The 27672-nt window shown below is 43.3% G+C and overlaps 3 protein-coding genes across 12 annotated transcripts in view, besides 1 other annotated feature; all 3 read right to left on the bottom strand.

Annotated features, from left to right (window-relative positions):
- Positions 1-805, bottom strand: part of SMN1 (survival of motor neuron 1, telomeric) — a 41435-nt gene extending 40630 nt beyond the window's left edge. For 8 of the 9 annotated variants that reach the window (XM_047417615.1, XM_017009786.2, XM_011543597.2 and 5 more), the window contains exon 1: positions 562-805. In XM_047417615.1, coding sequence (XP_047273571.1) covers positions 562-642 — 81 coding nt within the window. In that variant the 5' untranslated portion in view covers positions 643-805. The remainder of the gene's footprint in view (positions 1-561) is intronic. The other variant, NM_000344.4, reaches the window with a different exon arrangement.
- Positions 121-1053: an enhancer, noted in NCBI's record as "H3K27ac-H3K4me1 hESC enhancer chr5:70220520-70221452 (GRCh37/hg19 assembly coordinates)". NCBI's record gives its function as "activates a minimal SCP1, AML or CMV promoter by ChIP-STARR-seq in naive H9 embryonic stem cells {active_cell/tissue: H9 hESC(naive)}" and the evidence as "EXISTENCE:reporter gene assay evidence [ECO:0000049][PMID:30033119]".
- On the bottom strand, positions 7216-25077 carry SERF1A (small EDRK-rich factor 1A). Of its 2 annotated transcripts, none has more exons than NM_021967.4 (3): positions 24870-25077; positions 23813-23921; positions 7216-8805 (listed from the first exon to the last, which is right to left on the bottom strand). In NM_021967.4, exons 1-3 carry the CDS (start codon positions 24874-24876, stop codon positions 8589-8591), a joined length of 333 nt encoding a protein of 110 aa, NP_068802.1. In that variant the 5' UTR covers positions 24877-25077; the 3' UTR covers positions 7216-8588. The 2 variants fall into 2 exon arrangements, with proteins under 2 accessions (NP_068802.1, NP_075257.1); NM_022968.2 differs by lacking the exon at positions 7216-8805 and adding an exon at positions 17631-18012.
- LOC107986373 (mitochondrial import receptor subunit TOM5 homolog) lies at positions 7547-7911 on the bottom strand. The gene is made up of 2 exons (XM_047418007.1): positions 7882-7911; positions 7547-7768 (listed from the first exon to the last, which is right to left on the bottom strand). Exons 1-2 carry the CDS (start codon positions 7909-7911, stop codon positions 7547-7549), a joined length of 252 nt encoding a protein of 83 aa, XP_047273963.1.
- Positions 25078-27672: the final 2595 nt, after the last annotated feature.

Raw genomic sequence — 27672 nt, 5'->3', positions numbered from 1 at the left:
AAATTCACCCCTACCATGCTATGCCCAAGACTGAACTCCTGAGAAACCTGCTCTACTGGCAATCTTCTCTTTCCCACCTCAGCAAAAGGCAACTTTATCTTTTCAACTATTCAGGATAACCTCCGTTATCGAATCTATCTGAAAAACCTGTTGCCTCCGATTTCAAAATATACCCAGAATCCAAATACTTTCACTCTGTTAATAACATCTTGTTCTGAAGTTCAGATCATCTTAACAGACTCCTAAGTGGTTCCCCTGCTTCACCCTGGCCTAATGCCCCCACCTCCCCCACACCAGCCAGAGAGGAGTGAACAAAATAAGCTACTGCCAAGTCGCGGCAGGGCCTCCACTCAACGCTATCAAGGAGCCCAAACTGCTCGAGGAAGGAGCTTGCGGATGTGGTTCGCAGGGAACGGAGTGGGAAAAGACGTAGAAAAACGCGGACCACAACTCCAGTGAGCGGATCGACTTGATGCTGTCCCGAGGCTGCGGAAGGAGAGTTGGGCCGGAAGAAGGGTGCTGAGAGCGCTAATAGGGAGACTGCACTGGCTGCGACCTCACCTGGCCTGTGCCGCGCCGGAACAGCACGGAATCCTCCTGCTCCGGGACGCCGCCACCACTGCCGCCGCTGCTCATCGCCATAGCAAACCCGCGGGTGCGCAGCGTGGGGCCCCGTCCCTTCTTAAGAGTGACGACTTCCGCCGCCCGGGGCTTCTGGGAGCGGAACAGTACGGTGGCCGGGAGGACCGCTTGTAGTAACTTCTCACGCTTTCTACGAGTGGTTATCGCCCTCCCACATTTGTGGCGTGTATATTTTTCATTTCTCTCAATCCTTTCATTTCACTGTGTTATATTTCCTTTCCTTTTTTTTTTGTTTGTTTGTTTTGAGACAGAGCCTCGCCCTGTCGCTCAGGCTGGAGTGCAGCGGCGCGATCTCGGCTCACTGCAGCCTCGACTTCTTGGGCTCAAGCGATCCTCCCACCTCAGCCTCCCCAGTAGCTAGGACTATAGGCGTGCGCCACCACGCTCAGCTATTTTTTGTATTTAGTAGAGACGGGGTTTCGGCATGTTGCTTAGGCCTCGTCTCGAACTCCAGTGTGTGTGTGTGTGTGTGTGTGTGTGTGTGTGTGTGTGTAGATATTTATTCCCCCTCCCCCTTGGAAAAGTAAATGTAAGCTCCTACTAGGAATTTAAAACCTGCTTGATCTATATAAAGACAAACAAGGAAAGACAAACATGGGGGCAGGAAGGAAGGCGGCAGATCCTTAAACACTAGAAGATATTTGATCCCCCAACCTTATTTGTTGTTTGTTTTGAGACGGAGTCTCGCTCTGTCGTCAGAGTGCAGTGGCACCATCTCGGCTCATTGCAGCCTCGACCTCCCGAGCTCAAGCGATCCTCCCGCCTCAACCTCCCAAGTAGCTAGGACCACAGGGGCACGCCACCACACCCGGCTAGTTTCTGTATGTTTTGTAGAGGCGGCGTTTGGAGCATATTGTGTAGGCTGGTCTCGAACTCCTGAGCTCAAGATATTCCGCCCGCCTCTGGCATCCCAAAATGCTGGGATTACAGGTGTGAGCCACCTCGCCCAGCCTCCAGTATTCTTTTTTTTTTTTGCGACAGAGTATTGCTCTGTCACCCAGGCTGGAATGCAGTGGCGTGATCTCAGCTCACTGCAACCTCTGCCTCCCAGGTTCAAGCAATTCTCCTGCCTCAGCCCCCCGAGTAGCTGGGATTACAGGCGCCCACCACCACACCCGGCTAATTTTTGTATTTTTAGTAAAGATGGGGTTTCACCATGTTGGCCAGGCTGGTCTTGAACTCCTGACCTCGTAATCCGACCGCCTCGGCCTCCCAAAGTGCTGGGATTACAGGTGTGAGCCACCACACCGGGCCTCCAGTATTCTTTATTAAGCATCTAGGGTTGCTAAATGGCTTATATGTACATAGTATATATATATTTTTAACTCCACGAAAGGAACTTTGAGCTCTTCCCCCAAAATACCCTTGGCTTCTATATAGTATACAAGAAATATCTGTGGAGGAAGGGGAGAATGGGATGATGTTGACCAAGTGTACAAAAATGGTAACTCCGTAGAGGTAATATGTGGAATGTAATCATTTCACAATGTATATCTAAACATCAAATGGTACACCTTAAATATATACAATTTTTAGGGGTCTGGTACGGTGGCTCATGCCTATAATCCCAGCACTTTGGGAGGCCAAGGTGGGTGGATCACTTGAGGTCAGGAGTTCAAGACCAGCCTGGCCAACATGGTGAAACCCTGTTTCTCCTAAAAATACAAAAATCAGCCGGGTGTGGTGGTGCAGGCCTGTAATGACAGCTGCTTGGGAGGCTGAGGCAGGAGAATCTCTTGAACTCGGGAGGCGGAGGTTGCAGTGAGCCAAGATCACGCCACTGCACTCCAGCCTGAGTGACAGAGTGCGACTCCATCTCAAACAAATAAATATGTACAATTTTTATGTGTCAAAAAAGTTAAATTGTCACAAGATAAAAAAAAAAATTTTAAATCTCATGTCAGGAAAGTAATGTGCCAAAGGTACATCTCACAGATAAACATGAAAACCTGCACTCCAGCCTGGGCGACAGAGTGAGGCTGTGTCTCAGAAAAAAAAAAAAAAGTAAAAAAAAAAGTATGTTTTTATAAAGCTTGCTTAGATTTTTCTGAATCATAAAAATTCTCACAATTGCATTTGATGTCAAAATTTAAACAAATTACGTGGACATATTACATGATGGTTAAAAAAATAAATTTAAACAAAATATAGAACCAGGTTTCTTTTTGTTTTTTAATTTTTTTCTTTTTGAGACGGAGTCTCGCTCTGCCACCCAGACTGGAGTGCAGTGGCTCACTGCAACCTCTGCCTCCCGGGTTCAAGTGATTCTCCTGTCTCAGCTTCCCGAGTACCTGGGATTACAGGCGTGTGCCACCACGCCCAGCTAATTTTTGTATTTTTAGTAGAGACGGGGTTTTGCCATGTTGGTCAGGTTGGTCTCAAACTCCTGACCTTGTGATCCGCCCGCCTCAGCCTCCCAAAGTGCTGCGATTACAGGCATGAGCCACCGCACCCAGCCATTTCTTTTTGTTTTTATTATTTAGAGATATAATTGATATACTATAGAATTAATCATTTTAGAGAGTACAATTGAATGGTAGATTGAGCGGAAACCTTAATATATTCACAAGGTTGTGCAACCATCACCACTATCTAACTCCAGAACATTTTAATCACCCACCAAAGAAACTCTGTTTCCTTTAACAGTGCGCTGCCATGCTCAGCTATTTTTTGGGAGAGAAGGGGTCTCCCCATGTTGTCCACGCTGGTCTCAAACTCGGTTGCTTAAGCAGTCCTCCCACTTGAGCCGCTGTGCCCAGGCCTGAGTTACTATATTTATAAAAGTTATTTCATATGATAGACAAATCATTCAAAACATAATGAGGTAAACTGCCAAAAGAAACCATTTTACCATATTTGAAGGCATTTAATGTAAATGTTGAATTTAATTTCATGTACTGGAATCAGTCTTTTTGCATATGTAATTTTCATACCAAAAATCTGTCTTCAGTTGACTCCTGGAACTCTCTCATGATAAAATAAAAGTTTCAAATAATGTCGGGGTGGTGGCTAACACCTGTAATCCCAGCACTGTGGGAGTCCGAGGCAGGTGGATCACATGAGGTCAGGAGTTTGAGACCAGCCTAGCCAACATGGCAACACTAAAGATATGAAAGTCAGCCAGGCATGGTGGTGCATGCCTGTAATCTCAGCTACTAGGGAGGCTGAGGCACAAAAATCACTTGAAACTGGGAGGTGGAGGTTGCAATGAGCTGAGATCGTGCCACTGCACACCAGCCTGTGAGACAGAGCAAGACTCTGTCTCAAAAAAAAAAAAAAAAAAAAAAAAAAAAGGGCCAAGTATGGTGGCTCATGCCTGTAATCCTAGCACTTTGGGAGGCTGAGTGGGAGAGGATCATTTGAGCCCAAGTAACATGGTCAGGCCCCATCTCTACAAAAATAAATTAGCTGGGCATGGTGGTATGGGCTTGTGGTACCAGCTACTCAGGAGGCTGAGACAGGAGGAGTACTTGAGCCAAGGAGGTCAAAGGCTGCAGTAAGCCATGTTTTTGCCACCGTGCTCCAGCCTGGGCAACAGAGCAATATGCTGTTTCAAAAACAAACTAAAAAAATGGTAGTACCTACATGTGAAGATTGCATATAATAAAGATTGTAAAGCAGAGAGAAAAACTGGACAGTTCACCAAAAAGAAAATCCAAATGTCCACTAGAGATCTGAGAAGATGCCCAACCTCTAGAGCCAAGGAATTGCAAATTAATAACTAAGATAACATTTCAGGGCCTGGCACGGTGGCTCATGCCAGTAATCCCAGCACTTTGGGAGGCTGAGGCAGGCGGATCACTTGAGGTCAGGATTTGAGATCACCCTGGCCAACATGGTGAAATCCTGTCTCTACTAAAAATACAAAAATTAGCTGAGCATGGTTGCGGCGCCTATAATCCTAGCTACTTTGAAGACTGAGGCAGGAGAATCGCTTGAACCTAGGAAGCGGAGGTTGCAGTGAGCTGAGATCGTGCCAGTGCACTCCAGTCTGAGTGACAGGGTGAGACTTCATCTCAAAAAAAAAACAAAAAAACAAAAAATTTCAGGAATATACCTGCCTTTGGTAAAAACAAAAAGAAATTGTGAACCAGGCGTGGTGACTCATGCCTGTAATCCTAGCACTTTGGGAGGCTGAGGCAGGAGGATCCTTTGAGCCCAGGGGTACAAGACCAGCCTGGGCAACATAGGGAGACCTTGTCTCAAAAAAAAAAAAATAAATAAATAAAATAAAAAATAAAAAAATCGTGAATAGTGTTGCGATGAATAAAAAAGAAAAAAAATTAAAAAGAAAGAAAACCCAGAAAAACTAACATACCATTTTCCTCTCAGTTTGGCAAAACTATTAGGAATTAATAACATTTGATGTTAGCAAAGTATGGGGAAATGAACTTTTATCCTCTTATTGAAAATATCTGTTTGTAGCCAGGCATGATGACTTATGCCTGTAATCCCAGCAATTTGGGAGGCCAAGGTGGGAAGATCCCTTGAGGCCAGAAGTTTGAGACCAGCCTGAGTAATAAAGTAAGACCCCATGTCATTAAAAAAAAAAAAAAAAAAAAAAAAAAGAAGGAAAGACTGCCGGGCGCAGTGGCTCACGCCTGTAATCCCAGCACTTTCAGAGGCTGAGGTGAGCAGAACACTTGATGTCAGGAGTTCAAGACCAGCCTGGCCAACATGGTGAAACCCCACCCCATCTCTACTAAAAATACAAAAATTAGCTGGGCGTGGTGGCGGGCGCCTGTAATCCCAGCTATTCAGGAGGCTGAGGCTGGAGAATCACTTGACCCTGGAGGCGGAGGTTGCAGTGAGCCGAGATCACACCACTACACTCCAGCTTGGACAACAGAGTGAGACTCCGTCTCAAAAACAACAACAACAAAACCCAAAACATCTGTTTAAAGTTTAAGACATGTATACCTGTGAAAGTTGATTACATAAATTGGGTCATTCTTGAAATACTCAACTAAATCAGAGTTGAAGGGCCAGGGGGAAGAAGCATTCGGGGCACACAGCATCTGCTTCAAGAATTAAATTTTCCACAAGTCCAACTGCTGAACCAGCCTTCTGTATCCCTAAGACCAGTTTTACCTAATAGCTGCTAAAATGAACTGCCATGACTCTAAGACTGGTTTTACCTACCACCATCGCTCACCAATCAGAGCTTGCTAGCTCCCACAAGCTCTAGTGTGAATGAGCTTTCTTCCAAAACAGTATGTAATACTGTTCTTTCTCATAAAACCCGGAACCTTCTCTTTTTTTTTTTTTGAGATGGAATTTTGCTCTTGTTGCCCAGGCTGGAGTGCAATGGCGCGATCTCGGCTCACTGCAACCTTCACCTCCCGGGTTCAAGCATTTCTCCTGTGTCAGCCTCCTGAGTAGCTGGGATTCAGGCATGCGCCACTATGCCCAACTAATTTTGTATTTTTAGTAGAGACGGAGTTTCTCCATGTTGGTCAGGCTGGTCTCAAACTCCTGACCTCAGGTGATCTGCCCGCCTCGGCCTCCCAAAGTGCTGGGATTACAGGCATGAGCTATCACACCTGGCCGCAACCTTCCCTTTATTCTCCTGATCATACCAATGATCAGCCTGGTCTGTGTGTATGCCATGAATTGCAGCTCTTGCTTACCAAATAAAATGTTTTTAGAGATTTGTCTCTATATTATATTTGGCTTTGACATAACTATTCCCAAGGAATTCTATCTTTAAAAATCCATTCTTATAGAAATGAAAGCACCAATAAATGGGAATAAGTACGATAATCCACATCGCAGAATTGTTTGTAGTGGCAAAAGTTGCAACATCCTAATTGTCTATGAGTAAGGAAATGATTGAATAAATTACTGTACATCTATACTAAAGTTAAATTTGTAAGTACTGAAGTACAGGCACGGCTATTTTTTTTTTCTTTTTGTGGAAACAGGGTCTCACTCTGTCACCCAGGCTGGAGTGCAGTGGCACCATCTTGGGTCACTGCAACCTCTGCCTCCTGAGTTCAAGTGATCCTCACACCTCAGCCTCCCAAGTAGCTGGGACTACAGGCACGTGCCACCACACCTGGCTAATTTTGGTTTTTGGCTTCTTTCTTAATTGGTATGTTTACTTAAAAATATAGACTAATGGGCTGGGCATGGTGACTTACACCTATAATCCCAGCACTTTGGGAGGCCAAGGCGGGTGGATCATGAGGTCAGGAGATCGAGACCATCCTGGCTAAAACAGTGAAACCCCATCTCTACTAAAAGTACAAAAAATTAGCCGGGTGTGGTGGTGGGCACCTGTAGTCCCAGCTACTCGGGAGGCTGAGGCAGGAGAATGGCGTGAACCTGGGAAGCAGAGCTTGCAGTGAGCCGAGATTGTGCCACTGCACTCCAGCCTGGGCGACAGAGCAAGACTCCATCTCAAAAATAAATAAATAAATAAATAAAATAATAAAATAAAATATAGACTAATGATCCTGTGCTTCAATGTCATTGTGGTTATGTGCTGATGTCCATAAAACATAAGTTATAAGGGACTCTTCACAAATACACTCCAGACAGAAGGGTAAACAGAAATGACTGACAAGACAGTGCCATTTCAGACATACTTCCCTTAATTATTAATACTTGCTAGAAAATGGAGTTTGACATTATTTACAATTATACCAATATTCACAGAGGCCAACTGTCACAGGCATTAAGGGCACACCAGGGCCAGGAGACCTCATTTCAGACTTCCCAAATATTTTTATATTTTAGCTATTAAGATCAGTTACCAGAGCTCAACTTGTTCTTAACAAGCAGAATTTTTATGTCCATTCAAAGAGTCTCTTATACCTTTCTGGGCCTATTTACTTGCAGAGAACAGTAGAAACTGTAACCAGGCTCTTCATATCATGCATTCACATGTGATGTCCAATCTTCATATGCTGTCCAATTTCTTTAAGATAAATGGAGTGACTCGCAGCAGGGCCACGTAGATGAGAAAGTTCTGTATGGAGATCATATCCTCGTGCATCTTCCGTTTCATCTCCGTGAGGTCCAGCTTCCGGGCAAGGCCCCCAATCCGGAAGATCAGCTGCCTCGCTCTGCTCTCCCTAATGGCCCCCTTACACCCGGAACTCGGCCTATCCCCTCGCCCCAGCTAATTTTTGTATTTTTAGTAGAAATGGGGTTTCGCCATGTTGCCCAGGCTGGTCTTGAACTCCTGGGCACAAGGGATCTACCCGCCTTGGTCTCCCAAAGTGCTCAGATTACAGGCATGAGCCACCACGCCTGGCCCAACATGGCTATTATTTTTTAAAGTGCTAAATTATGGCCGGGGGCTGTGACTCACGCCTGTAATCCCAGCACTTTGGGAGGCCGAGGCGGGTGAATCACGAGGTCAGGAGATGGAGACCAGCCTGGCCAACATGGTGAAACCCCATCTCTACTAAGAATACAAAAAATTAGCTGGGCGTGGTGGCAGGCGCCTGTAATCCCATCTACTCAGGAAGCTGAGGCTGGAGAATCGCTTGAACCCGGGAGGCGGAGGTTGCAGTGAGCAGAGATCACGCCACTGCAGTCCAGCCTGGGCAACAGTGCGAGACTCTGTCTCAAAAAAAAAATAAATAAATTACCTGGGTGTGGCAGCGCGTGCCTGTAATCCCAGCTACCCAGGAGGCTGAGGCAAGAGAACTGCTTGAACCCAGGAGGCAGAGGTTGCATGGAGCTGAGATGGCACCACTGCACTCCAGTCTGGTGACAGAGTGAGACTCCATCTCAAAAAAAAAAAAAAAAAGTGCTAAGTTACATCTAAGTTTCCTATTTTTGTTTAAAAAACTCCTTGTAGTGGGTTGAATGGTGGACCCCAAAATGATACATCTGTCCATCTGATATGCGTGAATGTGACCTATTTGGGAAAACAGTTTTTGTAGATGAAATTAAGGATTTCCAAATGAGATCATCCTAGGTTAGAATGGAACCTAAATCCAACAGCAAAAGTCCTCATAAAAAGAAGGGAAGAAGACAGAAAAGAAGACCACAAAGACAAAGGCAGAGATAGGAGTTATGCTGCCATAAGCCAAGTAATACCTGGAGCCACCAGCAGCTGGAAGAGGAAAGCAAGGATTCTCCCTTGGAGCCTTCAGAGGGAGGTGTGGCCCAGCTGACATCTTGCTCTCAGATTTCTGGCCTCCAGAACTGTGAACAGAAATATTTCTGTTGTTTTAAGCCACTAAGTTTGTGGTAATTTGTTACAGCAGCTCTCAGAATCAAATACATTCCCACACCCCTTATTTATGTGTATGTGTGTGTATGCATGTTTGCATGAGCACTGAGAGAAGCATACCATTATTAACATTGGTTAGTTCAGGGGAATGAGACTGGCTTACTGAAGGCTGAGAGAGTATACGTGTGTGTATATAAATTGAGTGTATTTAAATTAAGTATATGGAAGTAAATTAAGACTACAATGAGATACCACTACCTCCCACCAATATGGTTAAAGATAAAAGGACTGATAATACCTAATGCTGGTATGGAGCAATGGAACCTTCCTTTATTGCTGGTGGTAAAATGGTATGGTCATTAAAAACAAACTAAAACAAAAACAACAAAAATGCAATTGTTTGATGGTACCTACTAAAAAATGTGTGTATGTGTGTGTATAGACACACACCCTATGACCCAGCAATTCCATTCCTGGCATATACTCAGTAGATAGCGTGTTTAAGACCATCATAAGATATACAAAAATGTTACGGTAGCATTATTCATAACAGCCCCAAAGTGGGAGCAATTCAAAGGTCCATGAAATGTAGAGTAACTAAATTATGGTATATTCATATAACAGAATGCTACACAACAGTGAAAAAGGCTGAACTGCTGCATAGCAGCAAAATAGAGAATTCTTTTAGACGTAACGTTGAGCAAATCAAGCTAGGCTCACTACAGCACATACCGTGTGATCCCATTTACAAAAAATTCAAAAACAGGCAAAACTAATCTATGGTGATAATCAGATGGGAGGCATTATCTAAGAGGGTGCTGGAAATGTCCTTTATTGTGATCTGAACATAGTATTCATATACGAGTCATTGAAATATACATTTCAAATGCTGGCTGTTTATTATCATTTCACTGGGATAAATGCCCAAGGAGTTAGTTTTCAAAGAGATGCTATTTAGAATTTATGGAAATTTAGAACTTACTGTATTTTCCCAGATTTTCTATAATGAGCAAGCATTGCAGTTTGAGGGTTTGAAAGATTGGTAGAGACAAAAACTGCATAAGCTGCATGATTATTTCTCACACTTCAGATGCTTACCACCTTTATGATTTGCCATATCATGTATTTTAAAAAATACATTTTTTTCTTTTTTTAGATGGAGTCTCATTCTGTCACCCAGGCTGCAGTGCAGTGGTGTGATCTCAGCTCACTGCAACCTCCTGGGTTCAAGTGACTCTCCGGCCTCTGCCTCCCGAGTAGCTGAGATTACAGGCACCCATCACAATACCTGGCAAATTTTTGTATTTAAAAATACAGCCAGGCTCGGTGGCTCACGCCTGTAATCCCAGCACTTTGGGAGGCCAAGGCTGGCGGATCACCTGAGGTCAGGAGTTCGAGACCAGCCTGACCAACATGGTGAAACCCCGTCTCTACTTAAAATACAGAATTAGCTGGGCGTGGTGGCTCATGTCTGTAATCCCAGCACTTTGGGAGGCCAAGGTGGGTAGATTGCCTGAGGTCAGTTCGAGACCAGCCTGACCAATATGGTGAAACCTCATCTCTACTAAAAATACAAAAATTAGCTGGGCATGGTGGTATGCTCCTGTAGTCCCAGCTACTCAGGAGGCTGAGGTGGGAGAATTGTTTGAATTCGGGAGGTGGATGTTGCAGTGAGCTGAGATCGCGCCACTGCACTCCAGCCGGGCGACAGAGCGACACTCCGTCTCAAAAAAACAAAAACATACAATTTTAAAAATTTAGTCTTAGCTTTTCAATAAGAGGGATTAAAATATATTATTTTAGTCTGCTCAGCATCCATTCTCCCTTCCTTTTGGCAAAGAACCCTAAATTTTTTGGGGGATGATATAGTTTGGCTGTGTCCCCAACCCAAATCTCATCCTGAATTGTAGCTCCTATAATTCCCATGTGTCATGGGAGGGACCTGGTGGGAGGTAATTGAATCATGGGGGTGGTTACCTTCATGCTGTTCTCATGATAGTGAGTGAGTTCTCAGGAGATCTGATGGTTTCATAAGGGGCTTTTCCCCTTTTGCTTTGCACTTCTCCTTCCTGCCATCATGTGAAGAAGGATGTATTTGCTTCCCCTTCTGCCATGATTGTAAGCTTCCTGAGGCCTCCCCAGCCATACACAACTGTGAGTCAATTAAACCTCTTTCCTTTATAAATTATCCAGTCTCGAGTATGTCTTTATTATCAGCATGAGAACGGACTAATACAGGGGACCACCTACTCCTTACTAGAGTTGGTTTTACCATCAACTTGCCCTCCTCTTGCTGAGGGATGGGTACCTAACCCATGTAACTTCAGTTGGAGGCACTCCAAGTGACATAAAAACTAAATATACATGTCAGAAGTTCAACCTGATATCAGCACTGTAAGAAAAAAAAACAAAAACAAACACCTCATAACACCTACTCTTAAGATACCTGAAACTGTTACAATTCTTGACCTTTCCAAAGCCTTGAGTCCTCAACTTTTCCATGACTCTGGAGTCTCTCATTCTTTCAAATAAGATTTTTATCAGTAAGTTCATTAATCTGATCCTGTTGCTTGCAACCAAAAATTCCAATATATCATGAAATCAGGTTAGATGTGGTTATATTACTTCAAGTATATACTAACCCATTTCCCGTTTGCCCCAAGAATACTCTTGCCTCTAATCCTAATGTAACATTATATACATTTCCATTATATTAGGATTAGAGACAAGTTCTGTTTAGAAATAACTCTAAGAACAGTTTGTGTATTTTCACATTGAAAATTAATTTGCGTCAACCTCAGAGTGTGTTTATGTAAAATTAAATGAGCGCTGGCAGCCAGCTGCACTTTTTTTTTCTTTTTTTCTTTTTTTTTTTTTGAGACGGAGTCTCACTCTGTCGCCCAGGCTGGAGTGCATGGAGTGCAGTGGCATGATCTCGGCTCACTGCAAGCTCCGCCTCTCGGGTCTATGCCTTTCTCCTGCCTCAGCCTCCCGAGTAGCTGGGACTACAGGCGCCTGCCACCATGCCCGGCTAATGTTTTGTATTTTTAGTAGAGACGGGGTTTCACCATGTTAGCCAGGACGGTCTCGATCTCCTGACCTCGTGATCCACCCACCTCGGCCTCCCAAAGTGCTAGGATTACAGGCGTGAGCCACGGCGCCTGGCCACTTTTATTTTCTAAACAGGAAATGGGTTAAATACGTAACTCTGTATGAAATATCCATTCATAAGCTACCCTAACAGCCCCCTTGAGTGGTATAAGGCTACAGTCTTTGACCAAAAAAAAAGTATTTGACAAAAACTTATGTCATGTGATATATGTTCATAAAAGGCAAGTATTTAATAGGATTATGTCAATTATAGCCAGGCTGGTAGGTAAATTTCTTTTAAATACCAAGGCTCAGCCAGACTGCTGCAAGGAAGTGTTCCAGAACTTATGTACCAGCAAGCAGTCTTGTCCAAGTGGTAAAACAGCAAGAGTAGTATGTGGAATGGAAATTCGGTTTGTATGTTTTTTTTTTTTTTTTTTTTTTGAGACAGAGTCTTGTTCTGTTGCTCAGGCTAGAGTGCAGTGGTGCAGTCTCGGCTCACTGCAACCTTTGCCTCCCAGAGTCAAGAAATTCTCTTGCCTCAGCCTCCCAAGTAGTTGGGATTACAGGCGCCCACCACCACGCTTGGCTAATTTTTGTATTTTTAGTAGAGACGGGGTTTCACCATGTTGGCCAGGCTGGTCTTGAACTCCTGACCTCAGGTGATCTGCCCACCTCAGCCTCAGCCTCCCAAAGTGCTGGATTACAGGCATGAGCCACCATGCCCGGCCTTGTTTTTTATTTATTTATTTCTTTGAGATGAAGTCTTGCTCTGTCACCCAGACTGGAGTGCAGTGGTGCAATCTCGGCTCACTGAAATCTCCACCTCCTGGGTTCAAGCGATTCTCCTGCCTCAGCCTCCCAAGTAGCTGGTATTACAGGCACACACCACCATACCTGGCTAATTTTTGTATTTTTAGTAGAGACGGGTTTCACCATATTGGCCAGGCTGGTCTTGAACTCCCGACCTCGTGATCCGCCCGCCTTGGCCTCCCAAAGTGCTAGGATTACAGGCACCTTTTTAAAATTATTATATTGAGACAGGGTGTCACTTTGTCACCCTGGCTGGAGTGCAGTGGCATGACCTTGGCTCACTGCATCCTCAACTTCCCAGACTCAAACCATCCTTCCACCTCAGTCCCCCAAGTAGCTGGGACTACAGGTGTGCACCACCACATCTGGCTAATTTTTGTGCTTTTTGAGGAGATGGGGTTTTGTCATGTTGCCCAGGCTGGTCTCAAACTCCTGGCCTCAAGCGATCCTCCCACCTCAGCCTCCCAAAGTGCTGAGATTACAAATGTGAGCTACTGCACCTGGCCGTGTATTTCTACAAAAGTTATGTTATAATCAAATTTGAAAATCTCAACTTTTCCAAGCAAATGATCCAATAGCAGGCTATTTATAAACTTTTAATGTGCATTAGTTACTGCTATGTAAAAGTTTTTTTGTTTTTAAGAAGTGAAGGTGTGAAAAAAACAAACCTGTAGTAAGTTTCATGTCTTTTGGAAATTTATAGGGAAGTACATTTGAGCATACACATTGTCATTCTCCTTTTCTCAGTGACAGTTTTATGACTTGGCCATCTCTAAAGATAATATATTCCAATATGTAATTGCTATATAGCAAATACATTAGCTGATGAAGTTGTAGGAGGCAATGTAATAAATGTTCTTACTCAGCTTTGGTCTAACAGATAACTATGACTGACAATTTCGTAAAAATAACAGACCAAGTGTTTTTGAGAGAGAGAGAGAGAGAGAGAGAGTGTGTGTGTGTGTGTGTGTGTGTGTGTGTGTGTGTGTGTGTGTGTATGTTTTGAGACAGGGTCCCACTCTTATCACCCAGGGTGGAGGGCAGTGGTGCAATCTCGGCTCACTGCAGCCTTGACCTTCTGGGTTCAGGTGATCCTCCCACTTTAGCCTCCCAAGTAGCTGGGACTACAGGCGTGCACCACCACACCCACCTAATTTTTTTTTTTTTGGTAGAGATGAGGTTTTTCTGTGTTGCCCAGGCTGGTCTCAAACTCCTGAGCTCAAATGACCCACCTGCCTCGGCCTCCCAAAATGCTGGGATTACAGGCGTGAGCTATTGTGCCCAGCCTATATAAAAATTTTTTAAGTTTTTGGAAAATGTCAGAAATCAACGTTTCCTTTTAGCCCTATTTTCAAAAACTGGCTAGTTTGATAAATGGATCACAATTTCTTACACATGCTACTAATAGAAGAGGCATTCAAAAATAAATGACTGATGGCCAGCGAGTGGATAACTTGAGATCAGGAGTTCGAGACCAGCCTAGCCAAGATGGTGAAACCCCATCCCTACTAAAACTACAAAAAATTAGCCAGGCACGGAAGTGGAGGTTGCAGTGAGCGGAGATCGCACCATTGCACTCCAGCCTGGATGACAAAGCGAGACTCTGTTTAAAAAAAAAAAAAAAGTAACTGATAAAACTGACCACAGTGTATCTTGGGCAGTAATGGCTGCTGCTTCTCATTTTCAGCAGGACTTAATGAAAATTGCTAATGATAACGCACTACCTCCTAAGAATGATGCAAAATACGATTTTTGATGTTTAAAGGGAGGGTTCCATGGAGTTTGGTATTTTCCAAATTATATTCTAAATCTGGTACTATCTCACCTAATAATTTTATCTTTCTTTAGCAACAAGCCCTAACAATATCCAAACTAAATAAAATCATTACATGAATTTACTTTTTACAATCATTCTCCTAAGGCTGGGCGTGGTGGCTCATGCCTGTAATCCCAGCACTTTGGGAGGCCGAGGTGGGCGGATCACCTGAGGTCAGAAGTTCGAGACCAGCCTGACCAACATGGAGAAACCCCGTCTCTACTAAAAACACAAAATTAGTCGGGCGTGGTGGCTCATGCCTGTAATCCTAGCTACTCGGGAGGCTGAGGTGGGAGAACCCGGGAGGCAGAGGTTGCGGTGAGCCAGTATCACGCCACTGCACTCCAGTCTGGGCAACAAGAGCGAAACTCCGTCTCAAAAAAAAAAAAAAAAAATAATAATAATAATAATTAAAATTATTCTCCAGGGATGGGCATGGTGGCTCATATCTGTAATCCCAGCACTTTGGGAGGCCGAAGCAGGCAGATCATTTGAGATCAGGAGTTTGAGACCAGGTTGGCTAACATGGTGAAACCCTGTCTCTACTAAAAATACAAAAAAACTAGCTGGGTGTGGTAGTGCACGCCTGTAATCCCAGCTACTTGGGAGGCTGAGGCAGGAGAATTGCTTGAACCCGGGATGCAGAGGTTGCAGTCAGCCGAGATTGTGCCACTGTACTCCAGCCTCAGCAACAGAGCAAGCAAGACACAGTCTCAAAAAAAAAAAAAAAAAAAAAAAAAAAAAGCTATTCACCTGTATTTTCCCTTAGTATCCTATAATTGACCTGTTTCCCTCTTTATAAGTTCAGCTACTTTTAGTTACCTTAACTATACCACATGGTGGTGTCATGATTGGTGTCAATGTATTGCATATATATATATATTACAATATACCACATGATAGGTGTCAATATACTCCAACAATTAGACTTAATTTTCTTCCTCTCCGATAATTTTTCCGCCTGCTTTGAGGAAACATCTGGTCATATTGCAGTTAAAAATCAAACCTCTTAACAATAAATTTATTTAATTAAATGCCATAAAAATTAATCAAGAATGGCCAGGCATGGTGGCTCACGCCTGTAATCCCAGCACTTTGGGCAGAGGTGGAAGGTGGCTCACTTGAGCTCAGGAGTTGGAGACCAGCCTGGGCAACATGGCAAAACCCCTATCTCTACCAAAAATATAAAAATCAGCCTGACGTGGTGGCATGCGCCTGTAGTCCCAACTGCTTGGGAGACGAGACTGAGGCAGGAGGATCACTTGAGCCCAGGAGGTTGAGGCTGCAGTGAGCCACGTTCGTGCCACTGCACTCAGCCGGGGTGACAAGGCGAGATCCTGCCTCAAAAAAAAAAAAAAAAAAGTACTAATGATTGATTACAAACTAGAGATCTTCCTTATTCTAATATCCATTTTATTTTGGAAACGTAGCTTTCCCTCGATTTATAAGAATTAAAAGGTCTAAAGTTCTTCCATTCCACAGGATAAACTAAAGAAATTATTCATTTAAAAAAAAAGGCAAAGAAAAGAGCTTAAAGCATGAAAAGTTTTTTTGTACTTATGGCTTATTAGTCTGTGTAGAAATTCTGGAGACAGAATTACAGAAACCAGGCCCACAAAGAATCTTTGTGGTACAATCAGATTTCTTTATTATTTCTTTTATTAGAATGTAACTTAAGCTACTTAATTTTTGCCTTTGTGACTACCATCATAGAATATTCTGAAGACTAAAGTTAACCAAAGATCCAGAACAATGTTTTAATTTAATGAAAAATCTAGGCTAATATGAAGATAGAAACTCAGGCTAAAAAACTTCAGCCGGGTGGGATGGCTCACGCCTGTAATCCCAGCTCTATGGGAGGCCAAGAAGGGTGGATCACCTGAGGTTAGTAGTTTGAGACCAGCCTGGCCAAAATGGTGAAACCCCATCTCTTCTAAAAACACAAAAATTAGCCGGGCGTGGTGGCGGGCGCCTGTAGTCCCAGCTCCTCAGGAGGCTGAGGCAGGAGAATCGCTTGAACTCAGGTGGCGGAGGTTGCAGTGAACCGAGATGGCACTGCTGCGCTCTAGCCTGGGCGAGAGAGCAAGACTCTGTCTCAAAAAAAAAAAAAACACCCCACAAAAACCCAAAAAACTTCCTGGTTGTCGAATTCAGTATTAGACACAAAAAATTCTAGCCTATTTATGGGTGGTACCACTGGTAAGAGACAAATCACAAGATATTGTGTTAGGCTAACTTCAAGATCTGTCCATTCAGATAGTGGTTGACATATTGGGTGATCAGAAAAATTTGTTAAATTGCATTATGTGAAAAATCAAGTATTTGTAGAATACTTTAAGTTATTCTATTTACTACTACAATGGCATTTTTATTCTCTCTGACATAGTTTTGTGTTTACTTCAGAGTGCAGCAAGGTCTCAAACCTTAATTTCTCTAGGTTACATATTTCCAAATTTATAACTACCATCAAGACTCAAGTTTTAGAAGAGGCTGAGAACAGAAAATATGGTACTCATTCCAAAAAATGTTAAAGCTATAAGTAGAACTGAGACCTCAGTTTACATCCACTTAGTTTCTATTCCAGTGGTTTGAAGTATCTGTTGTAAATTGTTCAAGCAAGCTTTGTAAGTTGATTTTTTTTTTTTTTTGAGGCAGAGTCTTGCTTTGTTGCCCAGGCTGGAGTGCAGTGGTGCAATATCTGCTGACTGCAACCTCTGCCTTGGGTTCAAGCGATTTTCCTGCCTCAGCCTCCCGAGTAGCTGAGATTACAGGCATGTGCCACCACACACCTGGCTATTTTTTTTTTTTTTTTTTTTTTGTATTTTTAGTAAAGATGAGGTTTCATCATGTTGGTCAGGCTGGTCTCAAACTCCTGACCTCAAGTGATCCGCCCGCCTCGGCCTCCCAAAGTGCTGGGATTGTGGGCATAAGCCACCGCACCTGGCCCTTTAACTTGATTTCAAAGCAAAATTATACAAATGGACCCTAACTTCTATTATATATTTAAGTTTACTTCAAAGATCTATTTTATCCTTATCCTTAGAAACTGTGAGGAAAAAAAAACTATGTTAACAAAGCTGATGACAAAGATTCTTTATTATATAAGAGATCCTATTATCTGATCATATTACCTAATAAATTATATATGAATGTTCAATAATAAAAATAATGTTCACCAATATGTCACATGCATGGTTAGTGTTTTATTCTTTGAAGACTGCTTCTAAAACATCGCACTAAGTAAAGCTGAAAGGATAAAGTTTAAAATAGTTTTTAAAGGATAAGTTATAACATATGTAATGACTGTCCACTCTACAAAATCTTGATCTTAGAGCTTATGATACACCCAGTTGGCAGTAGCACCCAGGTTTTCCAAATAGCCAGTCATCACTTTTCTCTTGTCTGCATAGACTTCTTCTCATTAGCTGCCTTCTGCTTTTCTTGCATGATCTCAGAGTCCCTACAATGAGGGAAAAGTCTATAAGTTGTTACAGAAAAACCAATTATATATTCTCACTTGGTTTCTACACATAACCCATTCAGTGTATTAGAAGACAATTTAAAAGAGGATATAAACTTTTTTGTCTTTCCATTTTCATGGCTGGAGATAAAATGGAAAGACAGACTGGAAAGGCTTTGAAGTCAGATCTTATTCTGAATACCATCTCTGTTATCATGACCTTGGGCAAATAACCTCAAAGCCCTTTCAAAATCCGGGCAATATGTATCAAGGTTGTTACAAGGAATCACTATGAATATATAAAAGTGTGTGACATTAGGCAGCTACATGTAGAAATAATAGCTATTACTCTTGGTTGTTAACTAGTTAATTCATTCTAATTTTTTTCCTTGAAAGAAGAGGCATTTAAGAACTCTCCTAGGTATCCTAACTGGTATCTACGACTAGAACATAGATATTATGAAGGATTTCAGTTTCTTACAAGCAAAAAAGCCCAAAAGCTAGTCACTAAAACTGGATTACAATAAAGAAAAGCTGGATGTTCAGGGTACTTTTTTTTTTTTTTGAGACGGAGTCTCGCTTTGTCCCCCAGGCTGGAGTGCGGTGGAACGATCTTGGCTCACTGCAACCTCCACTTCCTGCTTGCAGTTCTTCTGCCTCAGCCTCCTGAGTAGCTGGGACTACAGGCATGCGCCACCACACCCGACTAATTTTTGCATTTTAAGTAGAGACGAGGTTTCACCATATTGGCCAGGCTGGTCTCGAACTCCTGACCTTGTGATCCGCCTGCCTCAGTCTCCCAAAGTGCTGGGATTACAGGTGTGAGCCACTGCGCCCAGCCCTTAACCCTTCTCATCTCCAGTCAAACTGACACATGCCATATAAACTGTGAACTATGACCAGACTACCTGGGTTAGGTGATTCATGAGTCCATGGACCCATATTTTAAAAACAGACTAAACGGCCATGCATTCAACATCTACTGTGTGTCAAGCACTCTACCAGCTCTGGTTAAAGTCCCACAACTCTGACTTATTAACCTCATGTTTCAAACTTTTTAATTTTTTATTTATTTTTTTGAGACAGAGTCTTGCTCTGTTGCCCAGGCTGCAGTGCAGTGGCACAATCTTTGCTCACTGCAACCTCCACCTCCCTGGTTCAAGCGAGTCTCCTGCCTCAGTTTCCCAAGTAGCTGGGATTACAGGCATGTGCAACCAAGCCCACCTAATTTTTGTATTTTTAGTAGAGACAGGGTTTCACCATGTTGGCCAGGCTTGTCTCGAACTCCTGGCCTCAAGTTGATCCGCTCGCCTCGGCCTCCCAAAGTGCTGGATTTACAAGTGTAAGCCACTGAGCCTGGCCTGTTTTAACTTTTTGAGGAAATGCTAAACTGATTTCCACAGCCATGATGGTAAGATATTTCTGTAAAGCCAATAGCAAAAACAAGGGAATAGAAGAAAGGCAAAATAGGCCAGTGGCTCACATCTGTAACCCCAGCACTTTGGGAGGCTGAGATAGGCGGACCACCTGAGGTCGAGAGTTTGAGACCAGACTGAGCAACATGGAGAAACCCTATCTCTACTAAAAATACAAAATTAGCCAGGCATGGTGGTGCATGCCTGTAATCCCAGCTACTTGGGAGGCTGAGGCAGGAGAATCACTTGCACCCGAGAGGTGGAGGTTGCGGTGAGCTGAGATTGCGCCATTGTACTCCGCCTGGGCAACAAGAGCGAAACTCCGTCTCAAAAACATAAAATAAAATAAAATAAAAATAAAGAAGAAAGGCAAAATAACACAGCTACAGGCTGTTCTGCCTATAAAGTAGCCAATATTTATTTCTTTACTTTCCTAATAAACTTGCTTTCACTAAAACAAAAACAAAAACATAGCTATAAAGAAATGAAGTACAGTGGAAAAAGAACCATGACAGTTACTTCTCTATTTGAAACCAAGCTCTGTTGTGCTTGCTGTGTAACTTTAGTAATGTTACTGAAGTTCAGAGCCTCAGTTTCCTATTCTACAGATTAGTGCTAATACCATTTTTCAGAGTTATGATGAATAAAGAATAATGTATATAGAATGTCTAGCATAGAATTTTATAAGGAGTGCATATCTGGTAAACAATGACAATTTCTGAACCAAGCTAGACTAGGTTCTCCAATAAAAATACTATTGCAGGGTCACTGATTCATACCATGTTCATTTTTACTCTAATGTGAGTCAACAGAAATTGAAGACAAAGCTTATCACTTTAATAATAAATGTTAGGGCCGGGCATAGTGGCTCACACCTGTAATTCCAGCACTTTGGGGGACTGAGGTGGGCAAATCACTTGACCCCAGAAGTTCAAGACCTGCCTGGACAACATGATGAAACCCCGTTTCTACAAAAAATATAAAAACTATCTGGGCTTGGTGGTGTGCCCTTGTAGTCCCAGCTACTCAGAAGGCTGAGGTGGGAGGGTCACTTGAGCCTGGGAGGCAGAGCTTGCAGTGAACCGAGACTGTGGCACTGCACTCCAGTCTGGGTCACAGAGTAAGACGCCATATCTGGGAAAAAAAAAAAAAAAGGTGTCAGGACCTTTGCCGTAAATTAAGGTCTTTAATCTCATTTATCAATGACTCTTAATAGTGGCTGCACATTAGAATCACCTGGGAGCTGTTTTAAGTTCAGTTTAAGGTATAACTGGGTGTGCTGGGAGGCTGGGGGAGGGATAGCATCAGGAGAAATACCTAATGTAAATGATGAGTTGATGGGTGCAGCAAACCAACATGGCACATGTATATCTATGTAACAAACCTGCACGTTGTGCATATATACCCTAGAACTTAAAGCGTAATAATAAAAAAAAAATTCAAAAAAAAAAAAAAAAGGTATAACTGGGCCAGCGTGGTGGCTCACGCCTGTAATCCCAGCACTTTGGGAGGCCGAGGCGGGTGGATCACTTGAGGTCAGTAGTTTGAGACCAGCCTGGCCAACACGGTGAAACCCAGTCTCTACTAAAAATACAAAAATTAGCTGGGCATGGTGGCGGGCGCCTGCAATTCCAGCTACTTGGATTGCTGACGCAGGAGAATCGCTTAAGCCCAGGAGGTGGAGGTTGCAGTGAGCCGAGATCACGCCACTGCACTCCAGCATGGGCAACAGAGTAAGACTCTGCCTTTAAAAAAAAAAAAAGGCATAACCTAAGTACAGTAAAATTTACCTAGGGTGCTTTTTAATGCTCGACCTCTGACCAATTAAATCAGAACTGGATGAAAGTTAAATGTTTGAGCATAGAGATATCCCAATTACCCCGATTTGATCATTACACATTGTACACATAAAGGTTTTTTTTTTTTGACGGAGCCTCGCTCTGTCGCCCAGGCTGGAGTGCGGTGGCGCGATCTCAGCTCACTGCAAGCTCCGCCTCCCGGGTTCACGCCAGTCTCCTGCCTCAGCCTCCCGAGTAGCTGGGACTACAGGCGCCCGCCACTGCGCCCGACTAATTTTTTGTATTTTTAGTACGGACAGGGATTCACCGTGGTCTCGATCTCCTGACCTCGTGATCTTCCTGCCTTGGCCTCCCAAAGTGCTGGGATTACAGGCATGAGCCATCGCGCCCGGCCGGAGTTTCACTCTTGTTGTCCAGGCTGGAGTGCAATGGCGAGATCTCAGCTCACCGCAACCTCCGCCTCCCAGGTTCAAGTGATTCTCCTGTCTCAGCCTGCCGAGTAGCTAGGATTACAGGTGTTCGCCACCACAGTTGGCTTTTTTTTTTTTTGAGACGGAGTCTCGCTCTGTCACCCAGGCTGGAGGGCAGTGGCACGATCTCGGCTCGCTGCAAGCTCCGCCTCCCGGGTTCACGCCATTCTCCTGCCTCAGCCTCCCAAATAGCTGGGACTACAGGCGCCTGCCACCTCGCCCGGCTAAGTTTTGTATTATTAGTAGAGACGGGGTTTCACCGTGTTAACCAGGATGGTCTCGATCTCCTGACCTCGTGATCCGCCCGCCTGGGCCTCCCAAAGTGCTGGGGTTACAGGCGTGAACCACCGCGCCCGGCCACACACTTGGCTAATTTTGTATTTTTAGTAGAGATGGGGTTTCTCCATGTTGGTCAGAATGGTCTTGAGCTCCCAACCTCAGGTAATCCACCCGCTTCGGCCTCCCAAAGTGCTGGGCTAACAGGTATGAGCCACCACGCCAAGCCAGTTTCTTTTTGTTGTTGTTTTTTTGAGACAGGGTCTCACTCTGTCACCCAGGCTGGAATGCAATGGCAGGATCTCGGCTCACTGCAACCTCCGCCTCCCAGGTTCAAGTGATTCTCCTGCCTTAGCCTCCCAAGTGGCTGGGACTACCCAGCCCACATACAGGTATTAAAAGATCACATGTACCCCCAAAATATGTACAACTATTGTAATTCAATTTTTTAAAAAAACAAAAAATCAAAACTGAGCATAACGCAAGGCTTGAGTAGCTGTCAAGGTTTCCCAGGTGATTCTAATGTGCAGCCAGGATTGAGAACCCCTAACAAGCCACACTGAAGCACATGCAGTCAGTTATTCGCTTAACCTCCAAGTTCCATATGGACAAAATCATTTGAGAATAAAATTAAGCTTTGATTAGCTCTTTTAGAAACATGAGTGTACTTTTTTTTACTTAAGCTGCAGTCTAAAGTATTTCTGTAGCAGTTTTACATTGGCACATATAGTCATATATTAAGGCTATGTACATGAATTCTCTCCAATGCAATGGATCTTCAGAAATCAGCACAGCTAGCTATTATGCATATACTTTTTTGTATCTTCTTGAGAACTATTATCATTATATATTAATAATTGAGTCCCTTGTCATTCAGAGTAGTTTGGGTAGGCTGTCTACTTTGAAAATGTTGTAACTCTAGCACCTCACAGTGTTTTGCATATAGAAGATGTTATTTTGCTGAATAAAGTTGTTTTTTTTTGTTTTGTTTTGTTTTTTTGATACAGAGTTTCCCGCTCAGTACCCAGGCTGGATTGCAATGGCACAATCTTCACTCGCTGCAACCTCCCCCTCCCGGTTTCAAGCGATTCTCCTGCCTCAGCCTCCCAAGTAACTGGGATTACAGGCATGTGCCACTGCACCCAGCTAATTTTGTATTTTTAGTAGAGATAGGGTTTCACTATGTTGGTCAGGCTGATCTCGATCTCCTGACCCCAGGTGATCCACCCACCTTGGCCTTCCAAAGTGCTGAGATTACAGGCGTGAGCCACCGCGCCCAGCCTATAAAAAGTTCTTATGGTTGTGGAGGAGCTGCATGAGTCTCTGTGAAACAAATAATAGCTTCAGAGCTTTACGTTTTTATCTATATGTTGGGATGTCTACCCCACGTGGTTTTAGTCCGCCTGGCACAAATCATTAGGCCCTGTTCTACCAAGGGCTTAACAAAATGCTTTCTGTTCCCCAAAATGAGGCCTTCTTTTTTTTTTTTTTTTTTTTTTTTTGAGACAGGGTCTAACTCTGCCATCCAGGCTGGAGTGCAGTGGTGCAATCGCAGCTTACTGCGGCCTTAACCTCCTGGGCTCAAGCGATTCTCCCGCCTCAGCCTCCAGAGTAGCCGAGACCACAGCCATGTGCTACCATGCCTGGCCAATTTAAAAAAATATTTTGTAGATACAGGGGCTGGCTATGTTGTCCAAGTTGGTCTCAAACTCTTGGCTTCAAGCAGTTCTCCCGACTCTCCCAAACTGCCGGGATTACAGGCATGAGGCAACACACCCAGCCCAAAATGTTGCTTCAATCACAACGTCAGTGACTTTAGAATTAAATTAGTACCACGTACCTCTGCTTTCTCTGAGAGGCAGTCAAGCTATCCTCTTTCCTCTTTCCCTTGCTAATTTCCTGGGTTTTCTTCATGTTTTTCTGGCGGGCAAGTTCTCGTTGATTTCCACCTACAAAGTCAAACAGTCATGCTCTTTTCCCATCTCCAAAATTATTAATAATTCCAATAAACAGGCCTTATTTAAATGCATCTTTAGTTTGTGTTTTCATAGATAAACTAGCAGAGTAACAGATTGATGGTGCTCCTAGATCTGACAATAAGGAAGTGGCTTAAACACTTAAAGACTTAAGAGTATTATCATACCAATCTAGGTGGTCACTAGCTATAAATACCAGATATTTTAAAACAGATATTCGAATCTTGGGCCGGTATCCCAAAATAAGTTCTGGCTTTTGAGGGGAGTGGGTGGAAGAGAAAGCTAGATACAGAGATCACAAGTTCAGCCCATCATTTGAGAGTTACCTTTATCCCCATGCAGAGGCGGAGAGGGGTGGATGGAGACTGAACAGATTGAAGGTAAGTCTGCGAAAGGCAGTGTGGGCCTTTACATCCTTATTCTAGCCACAACCCTGCAAGGTAGGCTTCATTGTTTTCATTTTGCAGAACAGACTGACCTAACACCTAGGACTGGTACAAACGAACATCAAATTTAGGACCGGCTCTAAAGCCTCCTGTTTATTCGGCTACTACCTGCGAGCGCCAAACAAAAGAACTAGGGAGGCGACTCACTGGAGTTCCCGGTCCTCATTAGGCCTTAAGACTTGAGGTATCAGCTATAAAGTACCTCCAAACAAGGACCCTCCTGGGGCGGCCGTGTCCACATCTCCGGGGTGTGTTCTTTACCGCACAAACTCGCACCTGAGGGGCAGGCACCCGTCCGGCCTGAAAAGCCGGACCGGAACCACCCGCGAGCTCTCTCTCTGCCGACTGAAGCGGGGATCCCCGCACTGCGCGACCCAGGGGGATTCTCCAGCCGGACTCCGCCTCCCCCGCCCGCCGCGCCTCAGCGCTAGGCTCCCACGCCGGACGCTCGCCGCCGCTTCCCACCCCCACTCACGGGCCATGCCGACCACCAACGGAGCCTGGAAGAAGAGCAACTCGGAAAAGCAACGGTTCTCTGGCACTCTGGGATACCGTCACCACCGCTGACCGGGAAGGCTGAGCCCTCGTGGGCCCTCCGCCCGGCTGCGCCTCCCCTCTGCTCCGCCAACGGCCCCGCCCGCTGGAGGCCCGACAACAGCCGCCGGCATGGCCGGCGCGTCACTGCGCGTGCGCGGCCGGGGCTGGGCCGGGGCTCCGAAGCTCGGCCGGGGCTCCGAGCTTGTTGAATTACATTTCCCTCATGCTACATTAGCACTAATTTTAAAAGGGATATACAATATGTATATCTCTATTATGTGATAAGTTAAGCTGTTGTATTCTGAAATTTAAAAGCATTATTTTCAGTGAAAAAAACCACACAAATAGAAATGTGTACAAAAAACTCACTGAATGATATTTCTTTAATAGTAAAGGCACAATATGTCAAAACCTCCTCTGTCCTTTTTGCAACGATGTAGAACTGCAAAGTTAGCTAATGTCATCTCCTAATTAAACAAAATCAACTGTGAGAAAATTAAACTGATTGCTTCACAATTACGGTTGAGCAAACACTCAGTTTGTCCCTATTTCATCTCCTGCTTTAGATCTTTGAGAAATTTCCCATTGTTTTGCTTCCTTAGATTTACAGGGAAGAATATCTTAATATTCTTTAATGAACTTGCATTTGTAGCATCTATACTAATGTTACATCAACTAGGCCTTATGCATACATATTTATAACTTAAAATATTCTGCACAAATATGATATATTTTAAAGTCTATACCTCTTATAAGTATTATCTTTTCTGCTGAAATTCAAGGCTATCAAATAAGTGTATGTTTTTAGAGTTGTACAGTGAGATTTGAAAGCAGTCATGATATAATCACTGTAATTTTTTTAATTAAATGGTGGCAGATAGGCCAGATAAATTGCGGGAAAGGGTCAGATAAATGATGTTATGAATGAGGTAAACTTTTATCATATTTTGTATTATTTGTTATCTATGCTTCTGTTTACATAGCAGGATGACTCTATTGCATTCTGTCATTAACACTGATTTGTCCATATCAGTGCAAGTGAAATCTGCCCTACCCTAAATGAACCAGTTATTTCTAACCTACACCATCAAGAAAAGGTTATGTCTATCAACCTCCATTACATATTATATAGAATATACACAATATACATTCTAGATATATGAAGTCTTTGCATACATCTGAGTTATGCGTATGAGTATACATTTATATATACTTATATATATGTTTAAGATATATATTTCTGAGGATCCATATATGTCAGTGAACATGTACTCAATGAACTTTCATTATTGTGCAAACATAAACAGTGCAGTGTTATGGGATATTCCAACCAATTATAAGATCAAATCTCTTCACTTATTCTATTTGTTTTTGTTGTTATTGTTGTTGCTTTTTGAGACGGAGGAGTCTTGCTCTGTCACCCAGGCTGGATGGAGTGCAGTGGCGTGATCTCAGTGCACTGCAGCATCCGCCTCCTGGGTTCAAGCAATTCTTCTTCTTCAGCCTCCCAAGTAGCTGAAATTACAGGTGCGTGCCACCACACTTGGCTAATTTTTGCATTTTTAGTAGAGATGGGTTTTCACCATGTGGGCCAGGCTGGGTTTGAACTCCTGACCTAAAGTGATCTGCCTGCCTCAGCCTCCCAAAGTGCTGGGACTACAGGTGTGAGCCACTGCATCCAGCCTCTATTTGTTCATTTTTATAAGGCAATTTCTCACTCAAGATGTAGAATCCCTTTTCTTTTCTTACTTCATTATTTTTTTCTAGAAGCCAATGTTAAAAAGAGAAGTGTATTAAGAGACACTTTAAAAAGATGAGATTTACAAAAACATCTTGATAATAAGAAAAAAAACCATATGTCATTTATATCTAAATCAATCAGATACCTTTAAGGCTTGTCTCATAGGATCCTATAACCAGGGTTTTTAAAACTGCTTTATATTAAGAATAGCTAAGAAATGGGAACTTAATCTGCCTTCCTCTTATGAATTCTACACCACAGCCAGTATGAGCTGAGATAATATTAGATACTCTTAATGTTATTGTTCCTGCACCTCATATTCATGAAAATTGCATAGATATTTAGAGAAATCTACATTCCACTAAACATCTATTTATCTATTTATATATGTATTTACAATTTTTGCATTTAAGAATATGCATGCATTCACTCAATGTGATATAGTTAGGCTTTGTGTCCCCACCCAAATCTCATCTTGAATTATTATCTCCGTAATCCCCACCTAGCAAGGGAGAGACCTGGTGGAGGTAATTGAATCATGGGGGTGGTTTGCCCCTTGCTGTTCTTGTGATAGTGAGTGAGTTCTCAGGTTATCTGATGGTTTTATAAGGAGTTCTTCCCCGCTTTGCTCGGCACTTCTTCCTGCCACCTTGTGAAGAAGTTTCCTTGCTTCCCTTTCAACTTCTGCTATGATTTCCTAAGTTTCCTGAGGCCTCCCCAGCCATGCTTAATTGTAATTCAGTTAAACCTCTTTCGTTTATGAATTACACAGTCTCTGGCAGTTCTTTATAGCAGTATGAAAACAAAGTAAAACAGCATGTTTTGACATGTCCGTATAATTTGGTTGACTCACCTGGCCCCTTGCAGTTTGGTATAAATTGTAATACAATTTCCATGTTTATTTATCTCTATCAAATAATGAAAACATGGCATCTGCATTCAGAGATAAAGTTTCTCATTTTTATACAGGCACAAGTTTTACCTAGTAAATAATGTTTAA

The sequence above is a fragment of the Homo sapiens genome, chromosome 5 (assembly GCF_000001405.40).
Source record: "Homo sapiens chromosome 5, GRCh38.p14 Primary Assembly".
Lineage (NCBI taxonomy): Eukaryota > Metazoa > Chordata > Mammalia > Primates > Hominidae > Homo > Homo sapiens.
This window is presented reverse-complemented; position numbering and strand designations above follow the sequence as displayed.

Bases quoted from the DNA above. Each gene is read 5' to 3' on its own strand.
- LOC107986373 (XM_047418007.1), bottom strand. From the start codon at position 7,911: ATGTTGGGCCAGGCGTGGTGGCTCATGCCT. The intron at 7,769-7,881 runs GTAATCTGAGCA...TACAAAAATTAG, and splicing joins AGGCGTGGTGGCTCATGCCT to CTGGGGCGAGGGGATAGGCC.
- SERF1A (NM_021967.4), bottom strand. The intron at 8,806-23,812 runs GTACGTGGTACT...TTCTGTTCACAG, and splicing joins GCCTCTCAGAGAAAGCAGAG to TTCTGGAGGCCAGAAATCTG.